Source organism: Homo sapiens, chromosome 14 (genome assembly GCF_000001405.40).
Source record: "Homo sapiens chromosome 14, GRCh38.p14 Primary Assembly".
Classification (NCBI taxonomy): Eukaryota; Metazoa; Chordata; class Mammalia; order Primates; family Hominidae; genus Homo; species Homo sapiens.
The window spans coordinates 30,961,597-30,983,768 of record NC_000014.9 but is presented as its reverse complement, the minus strand read 5'-3'; the positions used below and the strand labels follow the sequence as shown (position 1 = coordinate 30,983,768).

The 22,172-nt window shown below is 40.9% G+C and overlaps 1 protein-coding gene and 1 pseudogene across 4 annotated transcripts in view; one reads left to right on the top strand and one right to left on the bottom strand.

Annotated features, from left to right (window-relative positions):
- Positions 1–22,172, top strand: part of STRN3 (striatin 3) — a 132,576-nt gene that overhangs the window by 42,611 nt on the left and 67,793 nt on the right. The gene's annotated exons all lie outside the window — the stretch shown is intronic.
- HIGD1AP17 (HIG1 hypoxia inducible domain family member 1A pseudogene 17) lies at positions 19,125–19,490 on the bottom strand (annotated as a pseudogene).

Sequence of the window (22,172 nt, the reverse complement as noted above, 5' to 3'; positions counted from 1 at the left end):
TAAATATGAGTATAAATACCTGACTTCTAAATTTAGGATTCTTTCAGCTTATTCATCTTTACTTTCTTAACTCTCTTAAATATTTCTTTCATTTTGATCATTAATATACTGAATTAGTGTAGAGTAGATTAATAAAATCTGAGGAATCACATTTATTTGATCAAAGTGAATTCTCCCTTTACACATGAAAAAACATCTTTGCCTTATTTTATTTATTTATTTTTGAGACGGAGTCTCGCTCTGTCGCCTAGGCTAGAGTGCAGTGGCACGATCTCGGCTCACTGCAACCTCCACCTCCCTGGTTCAAGCGATTCCCCCGTCTCAGCCTCCGGAGTAGCTGGGATTACAGGCATACGCCACCACACGCGGCTAATTTTTTTGTATTTTTAGTAGAGACGGGGTTTCTCCATTTTGGCCAGACTGGTCTTGAACTCCTGACCTCAGGCGATCCTCCCACCTCAGCCTCCCAAAGTGCTGGGATAACAGGCATGAGCCACTGCACCCGGCCTGCCTTATGTTAAGGTAATTTCATTTTTTGTAGATGAAGTAAGTTCTTCCAAGCTTGAGGTATTATAAGAGATTGCACACATATGGTCATTTCCATATTTTACAGTTGAGAAAACCAAGAACTTTATGACTTCATTTATTCAGCAACAAAAATTTGCCAAATATTTATTGAGTCTTTACATATGCCAGACAGTGTTCTGGATAGTAAGAATATATCAGTGAACAAAAGACAAAAAATTTCTAATTTTATGGAGCATTTTGGTAGCATTTTTCTAATTTATTTTTAGTTTTTAAGTTTTAACTTTTATTATAGATTAAAGGGTACATGTGTAGGTTTATTATTACATGGGTAAATTGTGTGATGCTGAGGCTTGGGGTCCCAATGATCTCATCACCCAGGCAATAAGCACAGTACCCAACAGGTACTATGATCGGCACCACTGCACTCCATCTGGGCAACATAACGAGACTGTATCTAAAATTAAAAAAAGTAAAAAAATAAAGTACCATTAAAATAGCTCATAGTTTCCTACCTCAAGGGGGTAAACTTCCTCTTTTTATGGAAAAGGGGCTTATCTGTGGCTTAATGCTTGCAAATACCACGTGAATGTGAAATTATTGGAATACAGTTACCAGTTAAAAATTATCTATTGGCCAGACACAGTGGCTGACGCCTGTAATCCCACCACTTCGGGATGCCGAGACGGGCAGATCACTTGAGGCCAAGAGTTCGGCACCAGCCTTGCCAACATCATGAAACCCTGTTTCTACTAAAAATACAAAAAAATTAGCCGGGAGTGGTGGTGTGTGCCTGTAGTCCCAGCTACTTGGGAGGCTGAGGCAGGAGAATTGCTTGAACCCGGGATGCGGAGGTTGCAGTAAGCTGAGATTGCGCCACTGTGCTCCAGCTTAGGCAACAGAGTGAGACTCTGTCTAAAAATAAATAAAAATTGAGTATCTCTATTATGCTTTAAACCACCTGTTGCCATGTAAAATGTCATTGAGATCTTTGAGGATGGTGGTGGTATTTTTTATAATTCATTAAACCTTATTTTAGGATCTATTATAAGTAGAAGAGATAAGTTTTATTTGCTTTTGGACATCCTAATTACTGTTTAGTCTTTTTTTTTCCCCTTGGAATTCTTTTTTTTTTTTTTTTTTTTGTGAGACAGAGTCTTGCTCCTCACCCAGGCTGGAGTGCAGTGGCACAATCTTGGCTCACTGCAACCTCCCTGCCTCCCGGGTTCAAGCAGTTCCCCTGCCTCAGCCTCCCAAGTAGCTGGGATTACAGGCACACGCCATCATGCCTGGGCTAATTTTTGTATTTTTAGTAGAGATGGGGTTTCACCATGTTGGCCAGGCTGGTCTCGAACTCCTGACTGCAAGTGATCCATCTACCTTGGCCTCCGAAAGTGCTAGGATTTCAGGCGTGAGCCACCGCACCCAGCCTGGAATTCTTTTATCAATAAAATTGGAAAACGTTATTTTCATGAAAAATTTTATAAGCTCTTGCAAGCAAGTTTTTTGTTTATCCATCCTCTTTGAAAAGACAGAAATTGAGCAGGTACTGGGTAGGTCGGGGACTGGACTGTTTCTGTTATTAGATGATCATACAAAGGTTTTTGTGCCCTGCTTTAGCACACTGAATTATGGGGTGTGTGTGTGTGTGTGTGTGTGTGTGTGTGAATTCTAAGCTACCTTGTGATTCTCATAATTAGCTAGGTTTTGAAACTCTTGTGTGATATGGTTTTTATTTTGTATTTTTTGCTTTATGTAAAATGTCAATGGTTTGCTGACTCTTTAATCTTAAAATTATTTTACATTTGAACCTTGCCTCTAGCCCCAAATATTTAAGTACTTTGAATACACATGAATAATTTTAGTTGACCATTAACAGGTGTGGGTGCCAACATTTCTTAACCTACTGTGTTATTTTAATTTATTTTGAGAGATGGGGTCTTGTTCTGTTGCCCAGGCTGGAGTGCAGTGGTGCAGTCATAGTTCCCTCGGTCTCCAACTCCTGGGCTCCAGTGGTCCTCCCACCTCAGCCTCTCAAGTAGCTGGGATTACAGGTGCACACCGTCATGCCTGGTTAATTTTTAAACTTTTTTTTGTAGAGACAAGATCTTGCTTTGTTGTCCAGGCTGGTCTTGAACGCCTGGCTGGCTTCAGGTGATCCTCCTGCCTGGGCCTCTCAGAGTGTTGGGATTACAGGCATGAGGCACCATGCCTGGACAGAAAACCTACTGTTTTTGAGTAGTGGTGTTATGGATTTATTATTAGTTGCTCTAACCTGAATTCGCCTGTATGTTGCTTCCAAAGCTAAAATATTTAAGTTTTTTTTTTAATTCCTTGGATGTTTGCTTCTGAGTGGTGTTGCAGTTTCTTTAGTAAGTGCTAAAGAATGTCTTAAAATCATTAAATACAACAAAACTCACCTATATCTAGTGTTTGCTTTTAGTTAAAAAAATTTTTTTAAAGAAAACTCTTGCAATAGAACAAATTTTGTGAAGTTATTTGTCAAAGCAAGATACTGTTTTTTAAGAAACATCGCAAAATAGGGCCGGGTGCGGTGGGTCACGCCTGTTATCCCAGCACTTTGGGAGGCCGAGGTGGGCAGATCACAAGGTCAGGAGTTTGAGCCCAGCCAATATGGTGAAACCCCGTCTCTACTAAAAATACAAAGATTAGCTGGGCGTGGTGGCGGGTGCCTGTAATCCCAGCAACTCGGGAGGCTGAGGCAGGAAAACAGCTTGAACCCGGGAGGCAGAGGTTGCAGTGAGCTGAGATTGTGCCACTGCACTCCAGCCTGGGTGACAGAGCAACACTCCATCTCAAAACAAAAAAAAGAAAAAAAAAGAAACAAAGAAACATTGCAGAATAGTAGTTGAACTTTTTAGTTCACTACCAGCAGAATCAAAGTTGAAAGTTTTACGCTGGTGACCTCTAGTGGTCTTGCAGTTAAAAAATTATCTGCTGTCAAGTATCAACAAATATCAAATAATTCTCCCCGCCCCCATACAGAGTCTTGCTCTGTCATCCCAGCTGTAGTGCAATGGTACAATCTCAGCTGACTGCAGCCTCCGCCTCTTGGGCTCAAGCAGTTCTCCTGCCTCAGCCTCCCGAGTAGCTGGGATTATAGGCACACACTATGTCTGGCTAATTTTTGTATTTTTAGTAGAGATGTGATTTCACCATGTTGGCCAGGATGGTCTAGAACCCCTGACCTCGTGATCCGCCCACCTTGGCCTCCCAAGGTGGTTGGGATTACAGGCGTGAGCCACCGCACCTGGCCTGAAATAATTCTTATGTGCATTCACATGCTGATTGTTGAATAAATTCAGATGATATATAAAATGTCCCGCCAGGCATGGTGGCTCACTTCTGTAATCCCAGCACTTTGGGAAGCCAAGGCGGGCAGATTACCTGAGGTCAGGAGTTCAAGACCATCCTGGCCAACATGGTGAAACGCCATCTATACTAAAAATACAAAAATTAGCCGGGTGTGGTGGTGTGCACCTGTAGTCCCAGCTACTCAGGAGGCTGAGGCAGGAGAATTGCTTGAACCCAGGAGGCGGAGGTTTCAGTGAGCCGAGATGGTGCCACTGCACTCCAGCCTGGGCGACAGAGCGAGACTCTATCTCAAAAATAAATAAATAAATAAAAATAAAATGTCGCAAATCAACGAACACCTTTTCCTGTATTCAAAGGAAGAAAAGCTATCCTGAAAATCAGTAGTAATATTTGTTACCCTAAATTATCAACTGAAATTGTATATGGAAACAAGTTTATAAAAATTAATTTTTGCCTGAAGTACACTTCAGATCAAGTAATTAAAAACAAAATTTGTTGAGTTGGGCACATAAAAACAAAATTTTTGGTACCTATTTTATTGAAGCAACTACACAGTCCGTTGCAAAACCTTTTTCTTTGGGCCTAGGTCTTTGACCTTATCTTCACAATAAAAATATACTTTTTAAATGTTTCCTTTTATTTAGATTTTCTTTGATATCTCTCATCAGAGTTTTTTGTAGTTTTCTTCCTGTGCATGTTTTGTTAGCTTTATGCTTAAGGTTTTTGGTGCTAAGGTAAATGGTACTATGTTTTGACTTTCAAAATCTAAATGTTTATTACTATTGCATAGGAAAGTAACAGACTTTTGTTTATTAATCTTGTTTGCTGCAACCTTGCTGTAATTGCCTTTTTTTTTTTTTTTTTTTTTTTTTTTGAGATGGAGTCTCACACTGTTGCCCAGGCTGGAGTGCAGTGGCATGATCTCGGCCCACTTCAACCTCTGCATCATGGGTTCAAACGATTCTCCTGCCTCAGCCTCCTGAGTAGCTGGGACTACAGGCGTGTGCCACCATGCCCAGCTAACTTTTGTATTTTTTAGTAGAGACAGGGTTTCACCATGTTGGCCAGGCTGGTCTCAAACTCCTGAGCTCAAGTGATCTGCCTGCCCTGGCCTCTCAAAGTTCTGGGCTTACAAGCGTTAGCCACCGCACCTAGCTTTATAATTGCTTCTTTGATCCAGGGTTCTTTTTATTGATGTTTTAGGATTTTTAACATAGGCAGTCAGGTCATCCGCAAACAGTTCTATTCCTACCTTCTCAATCTGTATACCTCTTCTTTTCTCATCTCTTGCATTAGCTAGGACTTTGAGTATGATGTTGAATAGGAGTGATGAAAGAGGAGATCCTTGCCTTCTTCCCAGTCTTAGGGGGAAAAGCATCTACTTTTTCATAATTAAATATGATATTTAGCTGTACGTTTTTCATAGATATCCTTTATTAAGTTGAGGGTGTTCCCCTTATTCCTGTTTATTGAGAGTTTTTGTCATGAATGGGTATAAGATTTTGTTCTTTTCTGTATCTATTGATATTTCTTCTTCAGCTTGTTTAACCAATTAATGATGCGTTATATTAACACAGTTTTGAATGTTGAATCAGTCTAGTATGCCTGGAATAAATCCTACTTTGTTGGATTCAGTTTGCTAATATTTTGTTAAGGAGTTTTGCATCTATGCTCATGAGAGATATGTTTGTCGTTTTCCTTTCTTCTAGTACATTTTTCTGGTTTTGGTATTAGGATAATGCTGGCTTCATCACGTGAATTAGTAAGTGTTCCTTTTGCTTCTGTTTTCTGGAAGAGATTGTAGAGAATTGGTATTTCATTCTCAAATGTTTAGTAGAATTCACCCTAGAGCCCATCTGTGCATGATGCTTTTTATTTTTGAAGATTATTAACTTTTGGTTCCATTTCTTTAGTATATATGGATCCATTCACGTCATTTATTGCTCCTTATGTAAGTTTTTGTAGATTGTGTCTTTCAAGGAATTGGTCCACTTCATCTTAGTTATCAAATTTGTGGGCATTAAGCTATTTATAATTTTTATTTTCCTTTTAATGTCCATGGGTTCAATAATGAGGACCCTTCTTTCATGTTTTTTTTTTTTTTTTTTTTTTTCGAGATAGAGTCTTGTTTTGTTTGCCTGGCTGGAGAGCAATGGTGTGAATCTCTGCTCACTGCAACCTCTGCCTTCTGGGTTCAAGCGATTCTCCTGCCTCAGCCTCTCGAGTAGCTGGGATTACAGGCGCCCACCACCACACCTGGCTAATTTTTTTTTTTTTTGTATTTTTAGTAGAGATGGGGTTTCACCATGTTGTCCAGGCTGGTCTTGAATTCCTGACCTCAGGTCATCTGCCCACCTCGGCTTCCCAAAGTGCTGGGATTACAGGCATTGAGCCACCATGCCCGGCCTCATTTCTGATATTAGTAGTTTGTGTCTTTCTTCCTCTTTCTTCCCCTTTCTCCATCTTTCCCCCTTTTTTGCTAGCCTGGCTAGAGTTTAATCCATTTTAATGATCTTTTCAATGAGCTGATTTTATTGATTTTTCTATGGTAATTTTTTTGATTTCTGTGTTCTATTTTTTATTATTTCTTTTGTTTATAATGCTGTTCTTTGATTTCCTAAGATGGAAGCTAAATTGTTGGTTTCAAATCTTTCTCTTTTTTTCATATATGTATTTATTTTGAAACAGAGTTTCGCTCTTGTTGCCCAGGCTGGAGTGCACTGGCACGATATCTGCTCACTGCAGCCTCTGCCTCCTGGGTTCAAGCGACTCTCCTGCCTCGGCCTCCCAAGTAGATGGGATTACAGCCACCCACCACCATACCCAGCGAATTTTTTGTATTTTTAGTAGAGACAGGGTTTCACCATGTTGGCCAGGCTGGTCTCAAACTCCTGATCTCATGTGATCCGCCTGCCTCGGCCTCCCAAAGTGCTGGGATTACAGGCTTGTGCCACCATGTCCGGTCAATTTTTGTATTTTTAGTAGAGATGGGGTTTCACCATGTTGGCCAGGCTGGTCTCAAACTCCTGAGCTCAGGTAATCTCCCCACCTTGGCCTCCCAAAGTGCTAGTATTACAGGTGTGAGCCACAGTGCCTGGCTAAAATATTTTAAAACTTATCCTGATACTTCTTTGACCAGTGTTTCACTTACAAGTATGTTTAATTTCCTATATGCTGGGATTTTCTAATTGTCTTTCTGTTACTGATTTTTAGATTTAATTCTATTGTGGTCTGATAGTACACTGTATGAATTCTAATCTTTTAAAGTTGTTAAGATGGGTTTTATGGTCCAAAATGTTTTTCTTGATGAACATTCCATGTGAGTTTGAAAATAATGTTGTTCTGCTGTTCTTGGATAAAATACTGTGTAGATCAATTAGATCCAGCTGATTGATGATGCTGTTCAGTTGAACTATATCTTTACTGGTTTTCTGCCTTGCTGGATCTCTCAGTTACTGGTAGAGGAGTGTTGTAGTTTCCAGCTATAATAGTGGATTCATGTATTTCTCAATTTTTGCTTCTCCTATTTTGACACACTAAGGGTTGTGTTCTTGGAGAATTGACCTCTTTCATTATGTAATATCCCTCTTTATCCTGGATAATTATCCTGGTTCTGAAGTCTGCTTTATCTGAACTTAATGTAACTATTCCCACTTTTAAAAAGTTAATGTTTGCATGGTATAACTCTCCCCATTCATTTACTTTTTGTTATTTTCTGTGTGTATACTTAAATAAAATTTATTGTAGGCAACCTGTCTGGCATTTTATTTTTTTAATTCACTACAACAGTCTCTTTTGATTGGCTTATTTAAATAATTCACATTTAAAGTGATTATTGATGTAGTTGGGTTAGTACCATGTTGGTAACTCTTTTCTGTTTTTGCACTTGTTCTTTGTTTATAATCCTCTTTTTCTGCCTTCTCTGGTTTGAGAATTTTATATGACTGCATTTTCTCTGCTGTCTTAGCATATGAACTGTAGTTTAAAAATGTTTCTTTTAGTAGTTATCCTAGGACTTATAAAACATTTACAACTAATTCAAGTCCACTTTTTTTTTTTTTTTTTTTTTTTAAAGAGCCAGGGTCTGTCTCTGTCACCCAGGCTGGAGTGCAGTGGCACCATCATAGCTCACTTGTAGCCTTGATCTCCTGGGTTCAAGTGGTCCTCTCACATCAGCTTCCCAGATAGCTGGGACTATTGGCATGTGCCACCACACCTGGCTAATTTTTTAAATAAAAGTTTTGTAGACATGCAGTCTGGCTATATTGCCCAGGCTTCAAGTCTACTTCCTCTTTCTTTTCTTTTTTCTTTTCTTTTCTTTCTTTCTTTCGTTCTCTTTCTTTCTTCTTCTTTTTTTTTTTTTTTCAGTAGGGGGGAATAGGTAGCATTTGGTTGCATGGAAAAGTTCTTTTGGTGATTTCTGAGATTTTGACGCACCTGTCATCTGAGCAGTGTACAGTGTAACCATTGTGTAGTCTTTTGTCCCTCACTGCCCTCCCATTTTTTCTCTCAAGTCCCCAAAGTTCATTATATCATTCTTATGTCTTTGCATCTCCATAGCTTGGCTCCCAGTTATGAGAACATACAATGCTTGGTTTTCCATTCCTGAGTTGCTTCATTTAGAATAATGGTCTCTCCAGCTCCATCCAGATTGCTGCAAATGCCATTATTTCATTCCTTCTTATGGCTGAGTAGTATTCCATGGTATATCACATTTTCTTTATCCACTCGTTGGTTGATAGGCATTTAGGCTGGTTCCATATTTTTGCAGTTATGAATTGTGCTGCTATAAGCATGCGTGTATGTGTCTTTTTCTTATAATAATTTCTTTTCCTCTGGGTAGATAACCAGTAGTGGGACTGCTGAATGAAGTTACCTTTCACATAATATTATATTGCTTCACAGGCAGCGCAGGCACCTCATAGTGTAGGCATACTTCACATTAGTGCATTTGCAGATACTGAGTTTTTTACAATTTGAAGGTTTGTGGCAACTCTGTGTCAAGCAAGTCTGTGTCATTTTTTCCAACAGCATGTGCTCACTCTGTTAGCATTTTTTGGCAATGAAATGTTTCCTTCTGTTTGTTTGTTTATTTATTTGTTTTAAGACAGTCTTACTCCGTCACCCAGGCTGGAGTGTAGTGGCGCAATGTCAGCTCACTTTAGCCTCTACTCCCCCCAGGCTCAAGTGATCCTCCTGTCTCAGCCCCCTGAGTAGCTGAGACTACAGGCGTGTGCCATAGCACCTGACAAATATTTGTTTTATTTATTCATCATTTTCAAGGTTTTTTTTTTTTTTTTGTAGTTATGCTATTTGGGGTTCCTTGAGATTCCATATGAATTTTATGATGGATTTTTCTGTTTTCTGCAGAAATAAAGTTGGGATTTTGATAAGGATTGCATTGAATCTGTGGATTGCTTTGGGTATTGACATTTTAATAGTATTAAGTCTTATAATCCATTAACATGAGATATGTTTCATTTATTTATGTCTTAATTTCTTTCAGCATTGTTTTATAGTTTTCATTATATAAGTCTTTCACATCCTTGGTTAATTCCTAGATATTCTTTTTGATGCTATTGTGAATGGAATTGTTTTCTTAATTACCTTTTCAGATTGTTCATTGTTAGTGTATAAAAATGAAACTGATTTTTCTGTGTTGATTTTGTATTCTGTTACTTTGCTGGATTCATTTATTCTCATAGGTTATTATGGAATCTTTTGAGTTTCTACATCATATCTGTGAACATAGTTTTATTTCTTCCTTTCCAGTTTGGTTGCCTTTTATTTCTGTTTCCTAATTGATAGGAATTCTAGTACTATATTGAATAGAAGTGTGAAAGTGGATTTCCTTGCTTTGTTCCTGATCTTAGAGAAAAAGCTTTCAGTCTTTCATCATTGACTATGTTAGCTGTAGGCTTTTCATATATGGCTTTTATTATGATGAAGTAGTTTTCTTCTGTTTCTTGTGTGTGGAGTGTTATCATGAAAGGGTGTTGAATTCTGTCCAGTGCTTTTTCTACACTGAGATAATCATGAATTTTTCCTTCATTCTGTTAATGTACTTTCTTACATTGCTTGATTTTCATATGTTGAATTATACTTTCATTACAGGAATAAATCCCTCTTGGTCACGATGTGTAATTCTTTTAATATGCTGCTGAATTCAGTTTGCTAGTATTTTGTTGAGAATTTTAGTATCAGTGTTCACAGGGGATGTTGATTGGTCTATAGTTTCTTTAGTGTCTTTGTCTGCCTTTGGTTATCAGGAGCAGTGCTGGCCTCATAGAATGAGTTGGGTAGTATTCCCTTCTCTTCAGATTTTTGGAAAAGTTTGAGAAAGATTGGTGTTAGTTATTTAAATGCTGGTGGAATTCACCAGTGAAGCTATCAGATTCAGGGCTTTTCTTTGTTGGGAGATTTATTTGTGTAGAATTGGTGGTTACTAATTTAACTTTAATATCTGATTTTAGTAATTTGAGTCTCTCCTCTTCCTCCCTCCCTTCTCTCTTTCTCTCTCTCTGTCTCTTTGTCCCCCTCTCCCTCTCTGTCCCCTTCTCTCCCCCTCCCCCCCACCTAAAGGGTTGTCAGTTTTTTTGATCTTTTCAAAGATTTGACTTTTGCTTTCAATAATTTTTTTTTTCTATTCTGTTTCATTGATCTCTGCTCCAATCTTTATTTGCCTCTACTGGCTTTTTTGAGACAGAGTCTCACTTTGTCACCCAGGCTGGAGTGCAGTGGTGCAATCTCAGCTCACTGTAACCTCCGCCTCCAGGGTACAAGTGATTCTCCTGCCTCACCCTCTTGAGTGACTGGGATTACGGGCGGGTGCCACCACACCTGGCTGATTTTTGTATTTTTTGTAGAGATAGGATTTCACCATGTTGGCGAGGCTGATCTTGCACTCCTGACCTCAGGTGATCCACTCACCTTGTCTTCCCAAAGTGTTAGGATTACAGGCGTGAGCCCGCACCCGGCCTAATCTTTACAATTGTGATTCTGAAATAAATATTATATAGCTCTGTTGTTTGCTGTAAGTTCATTTTAGACACACTTTTCGTTGTGGGAGGCATTACAAGTTATACTCCATTACAAGTTAAATAGAGATAGGGTCTTGTTCTTTTGCCCAGCTGGAGTGCAGTGGCGCAATCATAGCTCATTGTAACGTCAACCTCTTGGGCTCAAGCTTTCCTCCCCACAGCCTCCCAAGTAGCTGGGACTACAGGTGTGCACCACCATACCCAGCTAATTTTTTTTTTTTTAATTTTTTGTAGAGATGGAGTCTTGCCATGTTGCCTAGGCTGGTCTTGAACTCCTGGCCTCAGGTGATCCTCCTGTCTCAGTGTTATAAAGTTTCCGTGCCGCAAAAGAAATAACACTCGAATATAAAATTTTCTTTTTAATTCTCAGCAAGGCAAGTTACTTCTGTATAGAAGGGTGCGCCCTTACAGATGGAACAATGGTGAACGTACACTTGGACAAGGGAGGGGAAGGGGTTCTTTATCCCTGATGCATGTGGCCCCTTGCTGCTGTGTCATTCCCCTGTTGACTAGGGTTAGACGCACAGGCTAAACTAATTCCGATTGGCTAATTTAAAGAGAATGACAGGGTGAGTGCTTTGGCGGGGGTCAGGGCAGAGCAGGTAGCAGGTAATTGGAATGAGTTAGGGTGGAGCAAGTGATTGGAACGTAGATTGGAGCAGGTGAGTCAGGGTGGAGTAGGTAATTGGAATGAATCAGGGTGGAGTAGATAATCGAAAAAGATTGCTTTACGAGGAAGTTTAAGTTTAAAAGTAGAAGGCAAAGAATTGAACATACTGACATATTCTTTGAAAAGAAATTTAGAACTCATATCTAACAATCCCTCCCCTTGTGTTTCCTTACAGCTTTCTTTTCAAACTTTTTTTTAACATGTCTTGGCTTAGTTGTTTTGCTTGACTTTCTGAAAGAAGAAGCTTCTCTGGATAAGGTGGAGGATAGTTAAGGGAGGTTTTAGTAAATGCCATTTTTATGAGCCTCTGCATCTACTTACGGATGCATGGTATGACACAGCACCCGACAAGAATAAGTACACCTATTATGGCTGCAAGGGAAGAATTGAGGCTATTATTCCTTTCCATTTACCGAACTACTTTTTTTTTAGCCATCCTGTAAAGGGGTCATTTACCCCTGAGTTGCTGTCTGACTCATTGGATAGAGCAGTGAGACCTTGCAGTGCTTTTGTTATACTTTTATTAGGGGCGGTGCTGTTTGGGATGAAGGTATAACATTGAGTTTTAATCATGATGCAAAATCCTCTTTCTGCTAATATCGTGTCTAAGGCTATCCTATTTTCCTAAGCCATCTAGCTGATTGCCCCTAATTGTTCAGCTATTCCTTTAACAGCATCTCTAGTGTAGTTAATAAATCGCTGTTGGTTGTAATAGATATAGTTTATCCAATCTACATTTTTGTCACTCACCAAAATATTGACTCAAATCCTGCAGCTATTTGATTTTGGGCTTTAAATTGATCTGGTATTCCTCATGGGACTTTAATTGTGTCTAAATAGACGTGAGAGTTGAAAGACCTATAAGGGGCTTCTCTCACTTTACGATGTCTTATTTTTCCTTTCTCTGGTTGATGAAATGGCAGGGTGAAAGGGATAGCCAATTGGACTAAAGCACAAGTGCCACTTCAGTTGTTTGGCAGGGTGTCCACTAAAGGTCCACCACAATACCACCACACATCTGCTCGGGGATGAACAAGGGCTGACTGATTGATAAGCTCTTAAATTCTTAAGCTCACTTCATCCCTTCAGGTCTCCAAGGAACGCTAAGTTTCCTCCATGTTGTGAGAGACACAAAGTGAACTTAGTGTTGGGAGATGGAGGCTGGATGGCCCTCGGGGGCTGACCCGCAGGGTGCCGGATTTTGGGATATAGCAGAGAGAGAGCTTGGCAAGACTTATTACTCCAGGCTGTAGAATCCTGGCAAAGAGCTACCATGCAGCCCTTGCCTGGTTGACTGGAGGACCACCTTAGTGGAAAGGGGACAACCTGGGCCTCCCTGCCGTGCGCACAAACATAACAGTTGCTTTTGTTTAATGTGCGGGTGGAATATTTGATCCATTCCAACCAGGCATTTACATCTTGGTATCTTGTCTCAATTGCCAAAGTTTGTTTTAAGTCTTTAACTTTTACCATCGCTATCTTGGCCTTGTCCTTAGATGGAGGAGGAACAATGGTTCCCTTGTGAGAGGTTTTGGAAAAAGGCTTAGAAGCTGGTGCAGGCAGTGGGGGATCAAAGACATGCATTTTAAGGAGTCCAATAGGGTCTGTCCTTGAAACCTCAGCCCCCATACCATAAAACTGGCATAAAGAAGGGAACTGGCTTAGAAAAGGGAAGAACTTTGGGGGCTTGAAATAATAGCCTGTATAGGATTGCATTGGTTTAGCTGACAGCTGGGGGAGGGGAGCTGTCCCTTTAGTAAAATGAATGTATGGTTTTAGGAAATTACAAAAACTGTTTGGGGCAGTCTATCCTTGCTCTTTAGTGGTCCACAGAACGTTGGACCAACTACGGCATAAAAGCTCTACATCGGGGGGCCAGACTCCTGGTTGACACTCGGGTCTTTATCGAAATCTCCCTGGATTAAAAGGTCCCAATTTACTAATGCCCATTCTGAGGAGAGTCAGGAGGGACAAGGTACTTTTCTGAAATAGAGAGCTGTCTTTGACTTGGCAAGTCCCCACAGGGTATAACAGGGCAAGCATTAAATGCAGTAGTTTGAGGTGAAATTGACTTGGTGTTAATAACTAGATGCTTAGCAATAGAGTGAGAAAAGAAGAGTAATAGAATAGATGAAAAAGTTAAATTTTTCTTAGCTTTGGTTTGGTAGGGTTTTCCCCTGGGACTGTGGTCCATGACTGGAGGGGGTGGCGCTTTGACTTAGGTGTGGGTGAGTCCATCCCTTTTTCGCTGTACGAACAGCAGTCTTGGTGGTTAGCAGCACAAGGTAGGGTCCTTCCCATGCTGGCTCGAGTTTTTTTCTTTCCACTCTTTGATGAGAAGGTGATCTTCAGGCTGGTGCTGGTTTACTGGAAATTCTAGGGGTTGTACCTGTGCTAAAAGACTTTTAGTTTTGAGGGAAAGGAAAGTGGAAGATAAAACCAAGTATATAATTTCTAAGAAATTGACCTTTTGTTTTAAATGTGGGGACATCAACAGTGGACTTTATATATAGTTTTTGGTGCCTTCTTACTGAGAAATTTCCTTTAGCACCTACTTTTATTAGTTTTTAGACCAAAGAAAGCCAAACAACCATTTTATATTTAACAATGCTTCCTGTATGATTTTTATACCAAATAATCTGAATTTCACCTTTATATTAGTGTGTTATTAATGTTAATTTTAATAAAACCTTGTAGACATATTTATCCAATTTTTAATGTCTGAGCATAAGGTAAGATTTTTATAGACTTTTTTTTTTTGGAGACAGAGTCTCGCTCTGTGGCCCAGACTGGAGTGCAGTGGCGCGATCTCAGCTCATTGCAAGCTCCGCCTCCCGGGTTCACGCCATTCTCCTGCCTTAGCCTCCCGAGTAGCTGGCACTAAAGGCACCTGCCACCATGCCCGGCTAATTTTGTTTATATTTTTAGTAGAGATGGTGTTTCACCATGTTAGCCAGGATGGTCTCGATCTCCTGACCTCATGATTTGCCCTCCTCGGCCTCCCAAAGTGCTGGGATTACAGGCGTGAGCCACTGCGCCCAGCTTATAGACTCTTTTTAACCTTTTTTATAATTTTTGTTAAACAGCAGGTTAGTGCTTTAAGAAAAACCTGTTATGCTTTTGTTTTAATATCCAGTTCACAGAAAAACTGGATGATACCTCTTTGGCTAATATGTTTACACACAGAATTTCCTTTACAATTAATGTTTTAAAACTTGCTTAAACCTTTGAAACAAAATATATATTTTTTTTAACCTTTTAATGTAGGTAAAAATTCAGATTCTTATGCCTCCTTATAGTCTTTTTACCAGAAGTATATTTTACTTTCCTTACACGCTTTGCACATAAACTGTTTCTTCTATAGTTTTACATTTAGGAGGCTTAATTACTTTTAAATTATACAACATTTCTTGCATAAATTTCCTTTTATAACCTTTTTTTTCTCCACAACTTTCACAGATAATTCTTAGACATGCCTCAACTTTCTGACTTGCCGCAAACACCTTTTTTTTTTTTTTTGAGATGGAGTCTCCCTCTGTCGCCCAGGCTGGAGTGCGGTGGTGCCTTCTTGGCTCGCTGCAACTCTGCCTCCCGGGTTCACGCCATTCTCCTTCCTCAGCCTCCTGAGTAGGTGGGGCTACAGGCACCCGCCACCATGCCCGGCTAATTTTTGTATTTTCAGTGGAGACGGGGTTTCACTGTGTTAGCCAGGGTGGTCTCGATCTCCTGACCTCGTGATCCGCCCGCCTCGGCCTCCCAAAGTGTTGGGATTACAGGCATGAGCCACCACGCCTGTTTTTTTTTTTTTTTTTTAAACCAGTTAATCTTATTTTAGGACAAGAATTTACCATATAACGTTCTTTTTACATAAATTCTGTCCCCCCAATTTCTTTTTTCTTTTTTTTTTTTTTGAAGATGATAATCATTCTTTTCTGAAGTGAACTTCATGTTGGTGGACTAGACTGTCTAAGGCCATAAGATTAGAAGTTAGGATAATACATGTTACACTGTTAACTTTTAGCAAACTTTGCTTTTGTTGAAAACCTTTTAAGTTTGGTATTTCAATTATTCTTTGCTATTAATAAGACCCTGTTTAGTCCAAATTAACTTAGAATTGGTATAGATGGTTCCTTCCTAGTTTTGTAAGTACTTTAAGGCTTGGCTGAGTGCAAATAGCTCACACGTTTGAGGAGACCAGTTATTAGGCAGTTTTCCTGACTGCCTCTACAGGAGTTTCCCTATCAATTACTGAATACCTGTTGTTCCCCCACCACCCCAGTCACCCGGGAGGAAGTCGTGTCCTGAAGGGGCTTCCTCCTAGGTCTGGTCGGATCTTTGTATGGTAATTAAGATTTCAATCTCCTGTTAGGAAACCTTCTGGGTTAAGGGAATTTTCAGTGGTTAATGATAAATCATCTTTTTCTAACAGAATAGCCTTATAATTTTAAGATTTTTGAGTTAGTAAGCTACCTTTTTGCTTTTTGACTTAGGATAGTTCTGAACTGGTGAGGTGTGCTCACAATGGGGTTTCCTCTAAAAGTTATTTTTCTACTTTCTTCTGTTAGCAAAGCAGTTGCCGCTACAGATAGAATGCATTTGGGCCATCCGCGGGTTACTGGGTTAAGGATTTTTGATAGGAAGGCTACGGGTTGTCAGTGTCCTCAGTGCTTTTGGGCTACGCCCTTGTTTACATTGACAGCGAGATGGTATTGGAGTGTTATAGGGTCACGGAGAAGACCTTCAATTATTAACTATAGGTTTTAAATTTACCCTGGCTCTTAAAGGAATAGGGTACACTGTTTTTCTCTTTACTACTACTATTTTTCTCTTTCTCTGTTTGACTTTGTCTCTTTCTCTCTCTCTGACTCTCTGTCTCTCTGCCTCTTTCCCCACCACCGCCTCTCTTTCCCCCCTCTCTGCCTCTCTTCCCCCCTCTCTCTGCCTCTCTTCCCCCCCACCCTGCCCCACCCTCTCTTTCCCCTCTGTGTCTCTCTGCCTCTAGGGTAGGGACCTGTGGGAGTGGAGCTACTCTAATACCCAAGAAGAAAGGAAAAGGTGGGGTGGGGGGTTGTGTCAGGTTCAACCCTTGAAATTAGCGGAAGGCTCAACCCCTTAACACCAGGGATGTCTCACCTTGTGTGTCCCGGAAGCCTCAACCCCTCAAACCAGGGGTGTCTCACCTTGCCTGTCCCGGAAGGCTCAATCCCTCAAACCAGGGGGTGTCTTGTCCTGCTTGTCCTGGGAGGTTGACCTGCTTCCCCCCTTTCCCCTTCTGAAGGTCCTTTGCACACTTCCCACTTGTGCTGTCATCTCTGGCTGCTCCCCTAAGGGAGAATTAGGCCCCTCTTAGTGTTGGCGTGCTGGTATAAATCCCATGGCAGGATTTGCTCTAAGCCATATGAGGTAGCTATGGAACCTTGGAGAGGACCCACTCACTCCGTCCAGCAGTAGGACTTGTCACCATCCACACAACACCGCAAGCAGGGTTGTTGATGATCATTCACGCACGCACACATTTAGCCCTCCAGAATTTGACCACAAAGGAAGTACTTTACCAGCTCCTGCGGCTTCTCCTTCCTTGGCCTGTGCACAGTCATCGCAGCAGTATGTGAGGATCCTTTAAGCTAGGTTGCTGGCCAGTCCCCCACTCTGCGTTGCTGAGAGCTCGGGTTATTCCTCGCACTGGGTAGGTCTTGATTTCTCATCCCTGAGGCTGCCACAATAGGGCAGGGTGCACCTCCTCACGAGAGAGAAACAGAGACTGTCCCTGGTGGGGAATGTAATCCTGGATGAGCCCCCACATTGTTATATGTAAAGTTTCGGTGCCACAAAAGAAATAGCACTCAGATATAAAATTTTCTTTTTAATTCTCAGCAAGGCAAGTTACTTCTGTATAGAAGGGTGCACCCTTACAGATGGAACAATGGTGAGCGCACACTTGGACAAGGGAGGGGAAGGGGTTCTTATCCCTGATGCACGTGACCCTTTGCTGCCGTGTTGTTCCCCTGTCGGCTAGGGTTAGACGCACAGGCTAAACTAATTCCGATTGGATGCACAGGCTAAACTAATTCCGATTGGCTAATTAAAAGAGAATGACAGGGTGAGTGCTTTGGCGGGGGTCAGGGCAGAGCAGGTAGCAGGTAATTGGAATGAGTTAGGGTGGAGCAGGTGATTGGAATGTAGAGTGGAGCAGGTGAGTCAGGGTGGAGTAGGTAATTGGAATGAGTCAGGGTGGAGTGGGTAATCGAAAAAGATTGCTTTATGAGGAAGTTAAGTTTAAAAGTAGAAGGCAAAGAGTGGAACATACTGACATATTATTTGAAAAGAAATTTAGAACTCATATCTAACATTCAGCATCCCAAAGCACTGGGATTACAGATGTCTGGCCCCATGCACTTTTGTTTGTTGTTTTTTTTTTTTTTTTTTTTTGAGATGGAGTTTCACTTTTGTCACCCAGGCTGGTACAAGCGATTCTCGTTCCTCAGATTCCTGAGTAGTTGAGATTACAGGCACCTGCCACTATGCCTGGCTAATTTTTTTAGTAGAGATGGGGTTTCATGATGTTGGCCAGGCTGGTCTTGAACTCCTGACCTCAGGTGATCCATCTGCCTCAGCCTCCCAAAGTGCTGGGATTACAGGCGTGAGCCATCGCTCCTGGCCTCTTTTTGTTTTTTTTTAGAGATGGGTCTTGCTGTGTTGCCCAGGCTGGTATTGAACTCCTGGCCTCAAGTGACGTTTCTGCCTTAGTCTCCTAAAGTGCTGGGATTACAGACATAAACCACTGCACCCCCATGCACTTAAGGAGCCAACCAGTCTACTAGGCAGGCAGAAGAAAGTAAATTAACTGGGGTAAATAGGACTCCTATATAACATCCAAAGCATGTGGGATTCTGCAGCAAACTGGGAGTACTTCTGGATTGGCCTGCTGTCTTCTTTAGAACTAATTTCATTATAACAGTTTAAGAAGGTGGATATTTTTACATAGTCAATTGTATTAGGTGACATATTTCTTTTCTGTTAATGTGACTCCTCTGAATGACCTAGTTCACTAGTGAACTAGTGACTAGTAATTTGGTCACCAAGCAAATCAAGCCTGCAAGAAAGGAAGTCAATACTCAAAATAGTGTGTTATCGTCTGAATTCCATCAAATAACATGTTTTCTGTGTGAACACTTAACCTCAATAATGACATGTCTAACTAGAGCAAGCTCCTGCAACAAGACAAAGACCAAGACAGCACCAAGACCAAGACTCTCTTTTTTTTTCTTTTTTTTTTTGAGAAGGGGCCTTGCCCTGTTGTGCACTGGCTGGAGTGCAGTGGTGCTATCTCGGCTCACTGCAACCTTCACCTCCGAGTTCAAGTGATTCTCCTGCCTCAGTCTCTGGAGTACTTGGGATTACAGGTGCGCGCCACCACAGCTGGCTAATTTTTGTATTTTTAGTAGAGATGGGGTTTCACCCTATTAGCCAAGCTGATCTCAAACTGCTGACCTCAGGTGATCCGCCCACCTCAGCCTCCCAAAGTGCTGGGATTACAGGTGTGAGCCACTGTGCCAAGCCTGCATCTCTTCTTCTAAGGCTTAGGTTTTGCCCATAATTCTCAGTGCATGGAATAGTTGACATCAACAGTCATTGTTCCCATCACAAAGCCTTGGGCTGCCACATGCATGTGGATCAGGTGAAGGGACATTTTAATATTTCTCCTGTTCTTCAATTTGTATATCCACTGCAACAATTGCTGCAAAACCTGCTATTCCAATGGGGGACAAATGGTGCCTCTTTAGCTTTTTGGATATGTTTGGATCCCTGATCATCATATGAAGAAAGAGAAACATCTGTGTTGGTTGGTATGGAAATTGCTAGAAGAATCTCTCAAGAGCAACAAAACCCTCATGATCCAACTGGCTTCAAATCCCAGCTCCCATGCCCTATCTTCTCTTGTGTGTAGTTTTTTGTTTTTTGTTTTTCTTTTTTAGACGGAGACTCACTCTATTGCCAGCTTACTGCAACCTCCACCTCCCAGGTTCAAGTGATTCTCATGCTTCACCCTCTCGTATAGCTGAGACTACAGATGCGCACCACCACACCTGCCTAATTTTTGTATTTTTACGAGAGATGGGGTTTCGCCATGTTGGCCAGGTTGATCTCGAACTCCTGACCTCAAGTGATCCGCCTGCCTCAGCCTCTCAAAGTGTTGGCATTACAGGCATGAGCCATCGCACCTGGCTCTTTTCTTGTTTTTTAATGTAAGCATTTATATCTATAAATTCCCCCCTGCGCATTGCTTACATTGCATCCTCTAAGTTTTGGTATGTCCTGTGTTTGTTTTCATTTGTTTCTGTTACCTAATTTTTCTTCTTTGAGTGTGTTGTTTAATTTCCATAAATTTGTGAATTTCCAGTTTTCTTTTGTTATTGATTTCTAACTTGATTTTTTTGTGGTCAGAGAAGAAACTTTGATATCTGTCTTTTTAAAGTTATTAAGACTTGTCTGAGCATGGTGGCTCATGCCTGTAATCCCAGCACTTTGGGAGGCCAAGGTGGGCAGATCACTTGAGGTCAGGAGTTTGAGACCAGCCTGGCCAACATGGTGAAACCCTGTCTCTACCAAAAAATACAAAAATTAGCTGGGTTTGGTGGCGTGTGCCTGTAGTCCCAGCTACTCGGGAGGCTGAGGCAGGAGAATCACTTGAACCCAGGAGCTGGAGGTTGCAGTGAGTCGAGACTGCACCACTGCACTCCAGCCTGGGTGATAGAATGAGACCCTGTTTCAAAAAAATTAAAAAGTTATTTAGACTTAACTTGTGACTCAATTTACATGGTCTGTTCTGGAGACTGTCCCATGTGCACTTAAGATGTGTATTTTTTTGTTGGGTAAAGTGTTCTGCATATGTGTGTTAGAGCTAGGTGATTTGTTGTGTTCAGATCCTCTATTTTCTTCCTTACCATTTGTCTGGTGGTTCTATCCATTATTTAGAGTGGGGTATTGAATCTCCAACTACTGTTGTCTGTTCTCCGTTCTGTTCTGTCAGTTTTGCTTCATACGTTTTGATAATCTGTTACTAGGTGTGTGTGTGTTTATAGTTGTAATATCTTCTTGTCATTATTAGCGTAGTCATGTGTCACGTAACAGCAAGAATATGTTTTGAGAAATGTATCGTTAGATGATTTCATCTTGTGAACATCACAGAGTATGCTTACACAAACTAGATAATATAGCCTGCACTTGGGCTATGTGGTATAGCCTATTCTGAGACCACAAACCTGTATAGCATGTTACTGTACTGAATACTATAGGCAGTTGTAACACAATGGTAAGTATTTGTGTATCTAAACATAGAAAAGGTATAGTAAAAAAAAAAATGGGGCCAGGTGCTGTCACTCACACCTGTAATCCTAGCACTCTGGGAGGCTGAGGAGGGAGGATTGCTTGAGGCCAGGAGTTTGAGCCCAGTCTGGGCAACATGGTGAAATCCCATCTTAAAAAAATAGAAAACTTAGCCAGTCATAGTAGTAGGTGCTTGTAGTTCCAGCTGCTCGGGAGGCTGAGAGGGGAGAATCACCTGAACCTAGGGAGGTTGAGGCTGCAGTGAACTGTGATCGTGCCACTGCACTGTGGCCTGGGTGACAGAGTGAGACCCTGTCTCAGAAAAAAGAAAGATAACAAATGGTATAACTGTGTAGGGCACTGACCATGAATGAAGCTTTTAGGATTGGAAATTGCTCTGGTTGAGTCAGTGAGTGGTGATTGAATTTGTAGGCCTGTGGCATTGTCTCTCTTGTAGATTGTATAAACACTGTATACTTAGACTTTACTAAATTTATGTGAATTTTTTTCTTCAATAATAGCTTACCATAATCATTTTACTTTATAAATTTTAATTTTTTCAGCGTTTTAACTCTTTTGTAATAACACTTAGTTTAAAACAAGCACATTGTACAGCTATATAAAAATATTTTCTTTTTATCTTTATTCTATTAGCTTTCTTCTAGTTTTTAAAATTTTGATTTATTTTTACTTTTTAAACTTTTTTTGTTAGAAATGAAGACACAAACACACATATTAACCTATGCCTACGTAAGGCCTAGGAAGGCCTAGGTTAATATCATTGTCTTCTACCTCCACATCTTATCCCACTGGAAGGTCTTCAAGGGCAGTAACACACATGGAACTGTCATCTTCCATGACAACAATATCTTCTTCTGGAATACTTCCTGAAGGACCTGCCTGAGGCACTTTTGCAGTTAACTTTTCTTTTTATAGGTAGGAATACACTCTAAAATAACGATAGAACCAGGCACGATGGTTCACACCTGTAATCTTAGCAACTCAGAAGGCTAAGGCAAGAGGACCACTTGAGGCCAGGAGTTCAAGGCCAGCCTGGGCAACAAAGCAATACCCTTCTCTACAAAAATAATTTTTAAAAAATTAGCCTGGCTGGTGGCCCGAGCCTTAAGCTGAAGCAGGAGGATCACCTGAGCCCAGGACTTAGAGGGTACAGTGATCTGTGACTGCACACTACAACCCAGTCTGGGTGTCTCAAAACAAAAATGTATAGTAAATCAACTGTAGAATAGTCATTATTGTCATTATAAGTATTG